Source organism: Homo sapiens, chromosome 3 (genome assembly GCF_000001405.40).
Source record: "Homo sapiens chromosome 3, GRCh38.p14 Primary Assembly".
Taxonomy (NCBI): domain Eukaryota; kingdom Metazoa; phylum Chordata; class Mammalia; order Primates; family Hominidae; genus Homo; species Homo sapiens.
The window spans coordinates 101,322,078-101,334,467 of record NC_000003.12 but is presented as its reverse complement, the minus strand read 5'-3'; the positions used below and the strand labels follow the sequence as shown (position 1 = coordinate 101,334,467).

Below are 12,390 nucleotides of genomic sequence, written 5' to 3'. Positions count from 1 at the left end.
TATATGACTTGATAAAAATTATATAAGAATGTAATGGTTTGCCTTTTTTTTTTCCTGCAATAAGAGTTCCATCCAAGGGACTGAGCCAGAAGTCACATACCACCTTTATCCCCCTGTTAAATGTCATTTTCTTCCTTCCTAAAACCTTTCTTTTGACAGTCAAACTTGGTTTTATATCCTTCTCTTTTAACTCCCCTGATTAGGTAAAGAAAAGAAACTAGTATTTGTGTGTATGCAAGCCAACCCTGTTCAAGGTGGCTGTCTCAGATGGTTTAATAAGGGGGTCCCCAACCCCTGGGCTTCAGACTGGTACCAGTCTGTGGCCTGTTAGGAGCCAGGCCACTCAGCAGGAGGTGAGCAGCAGTGAGCGAGCATTACTGCCTAAGCTCTGCCTCCTATCAGATCAGTGGCAGCGTTAGATACTCACAGGAGCGCGAACCCTGTTGTGAACAGTGCGTGCAAGGGATCTAGGTTGCGTGCTCCTTATGAGAATCTAACTAATGCCTGACGGTCTGAGGAGGAACAGTTTCATCTTGAAACCATCCCCCCTAACCTTGTCCCTGGAAAAATTGTCTTCCACAAAACCAGTCCCTGGTGCCAAAAAGGTTGGGGACTGCTGCATTACCATAATTCCTTTGTACCTCTTATGACACATTTTAGTTATTTGTTATAGTTTTTTCTGCCCATATTAGATTATGAATACTTCTAGGGCAGTGTAGGTGACTTTCATTATTTGTTTTTAGGAACCTAATAAATATTTGTTGAAGAAATAAAAGGAAAGATGGATGAGTGGTAGGTACATTTAACATCATCCTGTAGTTTCCTTGTGTATGAAAGGAAGGGAGATGAATTTTATTTTAAAGAATCTGAGAATAAAAGCCTCATTTTTCCTCCTCCATTAAGATTTTTAATTAAATTAAGTTAACTGATTAATTTATTTTTTAGAGATAGGGTCTTCCCTTGTTACTGAGGCCAGAGTGCAGTGGTGTGATCACAGCCTCAAACTCCTGAGATTAAGCAATCCCCCAAGTAGCTGGGACTGATTATTGGTGTGTGTCACCACCCTGGCTAATTTTCTTTATATTTTTAGTGACAGGAGTCTCGCTATGTTGCCCAGGCTAGTGTTGAACTCCTGATCTCAAGTGATCCTCCTACCTTAGCATCCTAAGTAGCTGGAATCACAGGCATGAGCCACCACACTCAGCCCATTGAGTTTTAAAACCTCCCTAATGACAGATATAACAGTTGGAGAATTCTGTTAAGGTTTAATGACAGTATTTTATATCATGCCCAGATGGAGCTAAGCAAAATAAGTAGATTTAACTGTGTTTATACTAAGTTGCACAGCCAGTTTTGGAATCTGAAAAGCATTTAATAAATTGCTGCCTTTATTCTGTCCATTTCATTATTGTTTATAGTTATTAAATTTAAGAATAACCAGGGGTTACTATAAGGAGATATATTTATAATGTGTTAAATATGATATATCTTAAAGAAGATGGTTAAACTAAATTTAAGATATTTCAATATATAAAAATGGCTCTTGAAGTCCCTATCTTAAATGAAAAAATTTTTATATATCAAATCTGTCTTTCATACTCTCAGAATGGCACAGAGAAGACATAAAAGAGTAAGAACATGGACTCGTCACATAAACATTTTTAATAAAGATTACATCTTTGTACCTGTAAATGAGTCGTAAGTATTTCAGATTATTTAAGAACATATTGGAAAGAATTCAGAAAAAAATTTTGTAGTGTTTTTAGATTCATAATCAGTAAAAATTATGGCCACATACATCTCAGGTATTATTTTAATTTTTTTAAATAAAAGTAGCTAAGGCAATGAATTCCTTATCTTGGATTTTGGTTTGACAATGGTTATGTTGTAAAAGTAGTGAAAAAAAAATAAAGTGACAAATGACCACAAGACTATAATGACTGAGACATTGAATGTTTTTTTGTTTGGATTTAAGAAAAAATTTTCTAAATAAAAAAATAAAAATATTTTTGAGTGAATCTTCAAATACTTAAGAAAACAAACTCTTCAAGCACCAATACAAAAAAAATAATGCTATGAGTCTATTTATTAAGGCAGATCCTTAATAGGAAACACCGATTGTATGAAAGTAAATAAATTTGAACTACTCAGCTGTTACCCTAAATAGTGTTACTTATGCCTTGGTAACTCTGGATATTTAGTGTTGATATGTATGCTCTATATTATAATGAGATGTTACAGTGGATGTCTTCAAAATTAATATGAAATTTATTCTCACTTTCTCAGATGTATCTCTAGAATATATTATATGTTGTTTAGACTTTGCATGGTATTAAGATTGTAGTTCTTTTTCAACAGGTCTCACTGGTATCTCGCAGTCATTTGTTTTCCATGGTTAGAAGAAGCTGTGTATGAAGATTTTCCACAAACTGTATCCCAGCAGTCCCAGGCTCAGCAGTCCCAAAATGACAACAAAACAATAGGTGACATCCATAACGTAGATGGTGTTTTTAATAATGATGACAATAATTTAATGGTTACAGGGAAGAAAATGAAGTTAACGGTAGTATAGTTATTTACTATCATTAAACCTACTTTAACAGGATGAATAAAAAATCTGAAATTTTTAATGATAGACAAAATATAATTCTGAAGTTGTACTGTTATATCAAGTTTTATTATGGCACTTAAAATTACTACTTATTGATCTTATGAAATATTTCAAACATACAAAAAAGTATAACTAATATGACCAACATCAATACCTGTTTCACCTGGATTAAGAAATTAAAACTTTTCTGATATAATAATAATCTCCTCTGTGACCACTCCCATTTCTCTTTCTTTAATCCAGAAGTAACCACTACCCTAAATTTTATGTTTATTCCATGTATTATTATTATTTCCATTGACATTTTTTGCTTGTTTTAACTTAAAAAAATTGACAGATAAAATTGCATGTATTTACTATGTACAACATACTTTTTTTTTTTTTTTAAGAGACGTTGTCTTGGTGTAGTGCAGTGGCTCAGTTATAGCTCATTGCAACCTCGAACTCCTGGGCTCAAGTAATCCTCCTGCCTTACCCTCCTGATTAGTCAGGACTACAGGGGTGCACCACCTTACCTGGCTTATTTTTAAATTTTTTTTTGTAAAGATAGGATCTCACTATGTTGCCCAGGTGGGTCTGGAACTCCTGGCCTCAAGCAGTCCTCACACCGCAGGCTCCTAAAGTATTGGGATTATAGGCATGAGCCACCACACCTGGCTACAACATGATATTTTGAAATACATATACATTGTAGAATGACAAAATCTAGCTAATTAATAGTATTATACCATTTTAAAAAATACACTAGGTTTGCTAACATGACTAGGAATTTATGCCTTTGATTTCCAGACAATGCTTGAAATCCCCCATTTTTACTTAATCTAATTTCCTGTAGACTCCATTAATTTGGCTAGGTAATATAGGATCTCTTATAATTCTTCCACGAGTTTTCTTACAAGCCAAAATCTAAAGTAAATAAGCCTACTTTCTTTGAGAAAAAAGTAACAAAATTAAATGTTTTATAGCTGTAGCCTAAGCAGTAAGCTGATTGAAAAATAGCCATTAGCATTAATACTGGCCAAAACCCATGTGGGGAAAAAGAAAAACTGATGAAGCAACTGATTATGTTTAATTATCTTGAAACCTCAAATGTGTACTTACACAAAACTATATGGTCATAGTTAGAAGCACCATTATTAGGCAGATTAACTACCTTCTGCATTAAATAGCAGACATTTTGATTAATGAGCTATTTTTGAAGATTATCTTTTTATAGAGAATTTGCCTAGCTAACTGGTATTTCCAATCATGGCTCTGGGGTTTACCTGTTATTTGATAACAGCCAACCATTGTCAGTTTTATCTGTTGATTGAATTTTATTCATAACATTAATCATGAAAAAAATTAAATCTCAAGTATTTTTACTGTGCATCCAGTAACTGCATAAAAATTATAATTTTAAGCTTTTCTAAGTTACCTGTATAAAAACATGCAATAAACACTCATAACTGCTTAATTATTTCTAACTAGATAATGATCTACGTACTACTTCGACACTGTCTTTGAGTGCAGAGGATTCCCAAGTAAGTGTGTTCTTTACAGATGGGAAGGAAGGAAAACTCATGAATATAATAATGTTATCTGTAAAATAGAGCATAGCTAGGTGGGCTATGCTGGCCCATCATTAGATTGTGCTGCTTTGTGATTCTTTGACAGTTTTTGTGGGGCTGGGGAAGAGAACGAGATTAGTTATTATTCTTATATCTGTTTAGCTTGCTTTAACTTTTAGGTTATTTAGTAGTTTATCTGATGTTCATCTTGGTTAACTACTTTTCTAATTTCTAAGGATCAGATTCACTTTTATTTATGTCAGTAACTTTTTGAACTTAGGTAATTAATCATCTTAAGCACATTATATATTCTACTTTATTTTCTTTCTTTCTTCCTTTTTTTTTTTTTTCTTTGTGATGGGGTCTTGCTGACACCCAGGCTGGAGTGCAATGGTACAATCTCAGCTCAGTGCAACCTCCCCCTCCTGGATTCAAGCGATTCTCCTGCCTCAGCCTCTCAAGTAGCTGGGATTACAGGTGCCCACCACCATGCCTGGCTAATTTTTGTATTTTTTTTTTTTTTTTTTTTTTAGTAGAGATGGGGTTTTGCCATGTTGGCTAGACTTGTCTTGAACTCCTCACCTCAGGTGATCTGCCTGCCTGGGCCTCCCAAAGTGCTGAGATTAGAGGCGTGAGCCACCGAGCCCGGCCAGAAAATTATTGGTAAAAATCATTCAAGGTAGACTGAAAGTGAATCCATGTAACTCCTTAGGCTAAAATAGTTATCATTAACTCTTCCTTATTTGGAGCTCCAAACAGATCTGCATAGCCTAGATTCAGTGTTCTAAATTAAGATTGCCACTTAATGATTTTTTTTTTTTATATGTACAAATAGCAGCAGACTCCCTGGCACAGGCCTATGTCTTTACTGTCACTGATACGAACTGTCACTTCTTACGGAGGAAGGCTTCCTTTCCTGCTGTCACGGCGGCAAAATAGGAGCATTCCTTCTTGCCTGTAGGGCCAGATTTCTCAAATTGAGTTTCTTAGAATATTCATTCTAAGACTCAGTTCGTGATAAGCAGGATTCCAAGGTCAATTAAGTTGGGCAAACTTTGTATACTCTTTCTGTCTTAGAGAGCCAGTGTTTATGTTAGAATAATAAAGGCACTGAGAAGGTCTGCATTAAATAAATGTGCTTAAGTTTGATCTGTAGTTTCTCAAACTTATGAAGAAAACAAACAACATCAACAAAACAAAATTCCCTATCCCTTTTCCCTTAATATAGATTAAGGTTCTGCATCTTAGGCTTCAAAGGGAAGAAATGTGTCTCTACTGACATCATAAATTGGAGAATGTATGTAAAGACACGTTAAATTAACTTGTTTATCTTTGCTTAAGATAATAACTTGGAATGGAAGTAATTAAAGTTCCAGATTGCTTTTTAGGAAAAGTTAAAACTCCTTAACTGCTTGAGACTGCATGTAAAAGTATATAGCCTACTGTTTTAGCAGTATAATAAATTTGTGGAAAATGAAGTTAGCTCACTTTTGATGATGAAGATAACTATTACTTGAAATTTTAACTTCAAAGTTTGAAACACTTTAAAGGAGTAACTGAATAGTAAATTATTCAAAATAGCTTTAATTGCAGTCATAAAAATTTATGTTATTTCAGAGTACCGAGTCGAATATGTCAGTACCAAAGAAAATGTGTAAAAGGTAGGTACATGCTGTAATAATAATACAGTTTTTTGAGGTATTTAGATATACTTTGTATACAAGTATGTAAATCTTGATTTTGTCCTTTGCTTTTCATAGGCCATGTATTCTTATACTAGACTCCTTGAAAGCTGCTTCTGTACAAAACACAGTTCAGAATTTACGAGAGTAAGTAATGACAATTTTACCATTCCAGTCTGTTATCTAAAACCTCAGTAATTTTGAAGTTACCTTCAGAATTATTGAAAAGACTATATCAGGAATTATATTTTATTATCTATTTCAACAATCCTATAAATTTAATCAATAATAAATATCTTCTATTCTGTTAATATTCAAGTATTAATATTTCTAAAGGATTATATTAAAGGTAAATTCAGAATTTGTATTCATAATTGAACAGAAAGTATAGTTTTACAAAGAAGCATTGCATTGATTATCAAAAGTACCACTTTAGAAAAAAATAAGAACTCTTTCACATTTGTATAATTATGTATATGTATGTATGTGTAATTTTGTAATTTACTGTAGTACTTGGAAAAAACTAATGATGAAACTTTTAAAATGATTTCTTAGTTTACTTTGTTGAGTTATGAAAGTTGAGTTGTTGAAAAAAGTCTAGCTTTTACTTTGAAAATCACATTACATATTTTCTTTAAAGTAGTACTTGTGAGCCTTATAAAATGTAGGTTGCACTGCTAAAATTCAGTGTGGAAATTTGGCTTGAGACAGCACATCTGGCAACAAATGTTTTTCCGCCTTTCTGAAAATGTTGCATACTGATAAATAGATTTCTACTTTAGTCACTCTTATTTGTTGATTATTTCAGGTATTTAGAGGTAGAGTGGGAAGTTAAACTAAAAACTCATCGTCAATTCAGCAAAACAAACATGGTGGATCTATGCCCTAAAGTTCCTAAACAGGACAATAGCAGTGATTGTGGAGTATATTTATTGCAGTATGTGGAAAGCTTCTTCAAGGTATGTGAAGCTATAAATAAGTTTTTAATTCACAGTTACCACCATACGGTCACAAGTTACTGGGTGTAATAGTCCGTTCTCATGCTGCTAATAAAGACATACCCAAGACTGGGTAATTTATAAAGGAAAGAGGTTTAATTGACTCACAGTTCAGCATGGCTGGGGAGGTCTCAGGAAACTTACGATCATGGTGGAAGGGGAAGCAAACATATCCTTTTTTACATGATAGCAGCAAGGAGAAGAATGAGAGCTGAGCGAAGGGGGAAGCCCCTTATAAAACCATCAGATCTCATGAGAAGTTACTATCAGGAGAATAGCATGGGGGAAAACCGCCCCCATGATTCAGTTACCTCCTACCAGGTCCCTCCCACCACAGTGGGGATTATAGGAACTACAATTCAAGATGAGATTTGGGTCGGGGCACAGCAAAACTATATCACTGGGCAAGCAAAGAGGCAGGCACATGTTACAGGTAATCAAGATTTTTTTTAAAGAGAAAGAAATAGAACCACAGGTGATCCAGATACTGTAATTGGCAGATAAGAACTTTAAAATGATTTGATTAATAGGTTAGAGAAGATAAAGCCAAAGATGAAACAAAACGGATGAAGACATGGAGTATACAAAAAAAAAATCAAATAGACGTTCTAGAGCTGAAGATGTATAATGACATATCTGAAATTAGGAACTTATTGGACAAGTTTAATAGAGGACTAGATACAGTAGAAGATAGGATTAGTGAACTCCAGCTATAGCCCAGAGAGAAAAAAGAATGTAAAGAAGAGAACAGAGCTTAAGAGACAAATATAAAACAGTATAATTTACTGTTTGAAAGGTATAATTTACATGTTACTGGAGTCCCAGCAAGATTGGAGAGAAAGAGAATAGGGCAGAGACAGTATTTTAAATAAAATTTTCTAAAATGAAAAGATCTGTTTATTCAAGAAGCTCAGAAAACTATAGCTGGAGAAGTACAATGACAAACATAGGTGTTATTTTCTAGCTCACAGAGACTTTGTAGGAACTGTAGCAGTATTAAAGATGAAATTTTAAATAGCAAGGAATCACTCTTTGCTTTTTGAACTGTCATCTCATTACTTCAGTCATTGCCACTATTATTTACAAAGATGGGTCTAGTAGCAGAATGTTTTTGACCAGAAGTCGGCTTGGAGAATGCTTAACGGTACTTTGAAAGCATGAGAGTTATAGTATGCAGCTACAACTTTTTGATGTCTTTAATATGAGAGAGGAAGGATAATATATAGTAAAATACAGTACACATTTTGGAAATCATTAAATATCTATTATGTTGGGTTTTTTCTCCCTTTTTTATTCCACACTAGAACTTCATCATAGGGTGTCAGGTTCTGCCCCTCTCATACCCTTTCCAGATGGATTTGATTTTGTGAATATACTAAAAATGCTTAATTGTATGCTATTGGTGAATTGTATTATGTGAATTATATCTTAATATAATTGTTATTTTAAAAAAGTTAGCAATTTGTCATTTCTTATAAAAATGAAATTAAAACAAATTTGAAATTATGCTGCTAAAGTGATTACACTCTTTTTTTCCTCTCATTAGGATCCTATTGTTAACTTTGAACTTCCAATTCATTTGGAGAAGTGGTTTCCTCGTCATGTAATAAAGACCAAACGGGAAGATATTCGAGAGCTCATCTTGAAACTTCATTTACAGCAACAGAAGGGCAGCAGTAGCTAGTTAATCTGTACAAACATGACACAGATGTTCTCTAAGATTACTGGAAAGCCTCTTACCAGCATTTGTGTTAGCCAGCTCACAGAGAAGAAAATAACTTGCAGTAGTTTTATAATAAGTCATTGGAACATTATTTAAAATATGTAGGACACATTATTAGAATTGTTGGGATCTCATAGATGGAATGGGAATGGGGGTGATATAGATAAACTTACTAGATATAAATTAAAATTTTATAAATATTTCATATTTTTCTGAGTAAATATGATTGGATTATGCAACAGCATATGTAATATGGGAATGTTTTGTAGATAATAAAACTTACATGATCTGTACTTCCACGTGACTGGGTGCTGAGGGGAGTTAAAGCCTCCCTGGTGCCAGCCCCAGTGCTTGTCAAATTTGCTGACAGGTCACATCATATTGTAATTCTATTCTTTGCAGCTCAAGCATGCAGTATGAATACTGTGTATTTTTTAAAAAAATAATTTAGTATCAAGGCTTCAGAAAATGCCATTTACGGCATCCCTTCTGTATGTAACAAAAAGACATTCATAATGTTAGGAAGATGATAAAAATTCGCTCTTTTAAAGTGCAGCTTATTATTCTCAATTGCTAAATACGATTACTCTGCTTTTTTTTTTTCATTTCTTTTGATGTCATATGTGAGTATCTTATAATTTAGTTCATTTGTTCAGGGTAAAATTTGAAACAAAAAATTTTACCTGTGCAAAATAGTTTTTTAAAAATTATACATGTAGCTCAACTTGAGGTACTGCTATATAAATATTCACTCACATTATCACGGAATTTATGTATAGTTTCTCTAATATAGAAGATAAAATTGGTGTCCTCATAACTTTAACAAAGAAAACCCTCAGTCCTATTTATTAATGGGTAGAATTAAATATATAATTTTATAGCTCAGTTTACCCAGTATTCATCTGCAAAGCCAGATTGCTCTCATTGCTTTTATATTTTTAAATTGTAGCTTTTAGAGACCTATGATCCTCATGGAACTTAATTTTTTATTAAATATTCAGGTAACAGTTCTGAATTCATGTGATAATGGTGGCATTATATATGATTAAACACTTCAGAACTTTCTAATGTTATCAGGAGTATTTTGAGGGAGATATGATTATATTGTATTTTCTCAGATAAGAAAAATGTTTTTTAACAATATTATTTTAATCTGTTTTAAGCATCTCTTAGATTTACATTATAACTACATAAAGCAGTGAAGCAAAGGCAAATTAAGATAAAGCTAGAAAGTCTGAACATTTTATTTCAAAATCATACGAATCGGGGTCAGTTAAGCCTCAGTATTCTTAGCTTTTGTTGATTTTGGCACTATCTTTATATTATTAAATATATTTGTTGTTTGGATATTTCATATAAAGATGGCTATAATTACATATTTCATTCCCAATTTGTGTGTGTTGGGGGGTACTTTTAAAGGTGACTATTGTTTTGTACATCTAATTTTGGGAAAGCAAGTCTATAAGACATCTTGTGATTTCTTAATGTTTTTGTTTGTATGTTTTTCAAAGATATCACTGTCCTTTATCATGTTTTGAAGATTGTTTAAAATTCATTTTCCTAAATTAATGTGCAAGTAATGTTTTGAGGATATCAGTGTTTTATATTAAACATATTTCCAATTCATTAAATTGAGGTGTAATTTTTTTCCTTAAGAAACATGAGCTACTGTTAGAAATAAATTTCCAGTTGTATGCTGCTCTGTGTATATCATGAAATTGATGCTTATATTAATTATTCTTCATATTTTAAAAGCATATAGTTTATTTGAGTGTCATTTCAGTTCAGGGAAATTATTTTAGCTTCTACTACTAGCAGGCATTTTGCTAGGCACAAAAAATGAATGATATTTGTTCCTGAGTCATTTATGGACATGTGAACATTTTAAATATTTTCTGGTAAGAACAACCATAGAGTTTCTTTGGGAATGCAGGAGGGAGCTCAGCCTAGAGGGGTGTGTGTGTGTGTGTGTGTGTGTGTGTGTGTGTGTGTGTGTGTATGTTAGTGAGGAGGTAGAGAGGTAGAGAGAGGGTTGTTAGTGAACAAAGCAAGCCTTCCTAGAGAAGATAATATTATTTTAATTTCACAGCTCTTGGGATGTTAAAAAAAGAAGTTATTTAAATCATATCCAATCACCTAATTAGGAGTTTAAAAAAGTTTAATACCTTTTGAAATCAACTTTTTTATGCCAAGAGGAAAAATAGGTTTAGACTTGGCCTATAGAGCCCATCCTTAATCTTGTTCCAGCCTATATCCTATTCTTATCTTTCCATTGTCCTCTACTTTTGCAGTTGTATAAAATTATTCGTTCATGTATTTAGGTACTTCCTCTGCGGTCTCTTGTAACTAAACTTGTCCTTGTGGAAATTTGGAAACTGCCCATGCGTTGTTAAGAGGCATAGTTCTGTGTGTATGAGGCTTCTGTCTGCTTCTGTGGCCTGCTCCCACCCAGGTGGTCTCTTCTGTTACAACTTAGTGCATCCTTCTTGGGGGCTGGAGAAATCAGGGCTCTTATAAAGATTCCAGATGAAGATGTACTTCACTTGAAATTATTATTATAACACTGTTTGCTGTGCCATATTTTTCTACAAAGTAAGCCTGGAGCCACATTTTGGACTGTTGTCCCATGAGTGTGAATATCACTTTGAACCCAAGACTATAGATGCTTGTGTGGAGTGGGGGTTGTGACATTGTACCTCCATACCTTTTCACCACTTCTTGTGAACTTTATTTTTTCAAAGTTGAATGTAAATGTTACCACCCCTACACCTACTCAAACAATAGTTCATTCCCCCTCCTGCTCCCCTATAGCAATTTGTATATACTTCTCTAATTACTGTTTTATATTATTTGTATACACGTTTTTCTCCTTAGACTGTAAGCTCCTCAAAGACTGGAAGCATTTTTCCATTTCTGATATTAAGTATCTTACTAGCATATAGTAAACACTCAGAAAATTTTGTTGAGTCAATAAATGATCCTTGACTTATTTGTAATTAAGTTTAGATGAAGGAATCTGTATTTGTTGTCTCTAAAGCACAGAGTTTTATGTTTAGTTTCTCATATGCTTATGATTCTGGGACATTTCTTGAAGCATAAAAAGATTCAAGGACCATCCTATGAGATTGTGAAATATTACCTAAAAAGAATCTCCTTAAATAAAAACTCAAAGAATATACTTTTTTGAGTAATTAAACATTAGAGAGACAATGTTTCATCTGTAGGTAAAAATCCAAAATTCTTGCTAAAACTTTGAAGGTATTCCATAATCAATCTCAACTTTTCAGCCTTCATTCCCAACGTATTTGCTGTATGCTCCTATCTTGCGTGCTCCAGCAAATATCTTCCTATTTTCTTTATAAACAGTATACTTTTCCACTTTATTGATCACGACGAGGGATTTCTCTCCTAACTCTTAGTTCTTCCCACTAACAATCCTTACTTCTGCCCACTAAAATACTGAAATGCCAAGTAGGCCATTCAAGGCGCAGCTGAAATACCCGCCTCCTGCTTCCCCCACACCCTCTTGCTTTTTCTAGTTGGAGTTACTCTTGCTTTTGGATTCCTATGACACAAACTTAATAGCGGGCATCACCTGCTTTGTATCATAGATACAAAGTTACAGTTAAAAGTTACAAATAAATGTCAAGTTAAATTGAATTTGTAAAATGATGACCATATTTAGAAACAAATGAACCCATCTAATTTCTTATATTTCTTTTTTTAAAGTACAGGTTTCTGAAATTATACCAACTATATTTTATAGAACATAATATAATAAATGTTTAAGAAGTTTTTATGTGAATTCTCTGTTTGAAATATAAGT

General features: G+C 33.4%; 1 protein-coding gene across 14 annotated transcripts in view; it reads left to right on the top strand.

The window, feature by feature from the left end:
* SENP7 (SUMO specific peptidase 7) overlaps positions 1-10,263 on the top strand; it is a 189,008-nt gene extending 178,745 nt beyond the window's left edge. For 12 of the 14 annotated variants that reach the window (NM_001282803.2, XM_017006926.2, NM_001282802.2 and 9 more), the window contains 7 exons: positions 1,606-1,698; positions 2,359-2,483; positions 4,082-4,134; positions 5,779-5,822; positions 5,922-5,990; positions 6,652-6,802; positions 8,388-10,263. In NM_001282803.2, coding sequence (NP_001269732.1) covers positions 1,606-1,698; positions 2,359-2,483; positions 4,082-4,134; positions 5,779-5,822; positions 5,922-5,990; positions 6,652-6,802; positions 8,388-8,525 — 673 coding nt within the window. In that variant the 3' untranslated portion in view covers positions 8,526-10,263. Of the gene's footprint in view, positions 1-743; positions 936-1,605; positions 1,699-2,358; positions 2,484-4,081; positions 4,135-5,778; positions 5,823-5,921; positions 5,991-6,651; positions 6,803-8,387 lie in introns of those variants that run through there. The other 2 variants (XM_047448628.1, XM_017006928.3) reach the window with 2 other exon arrangements.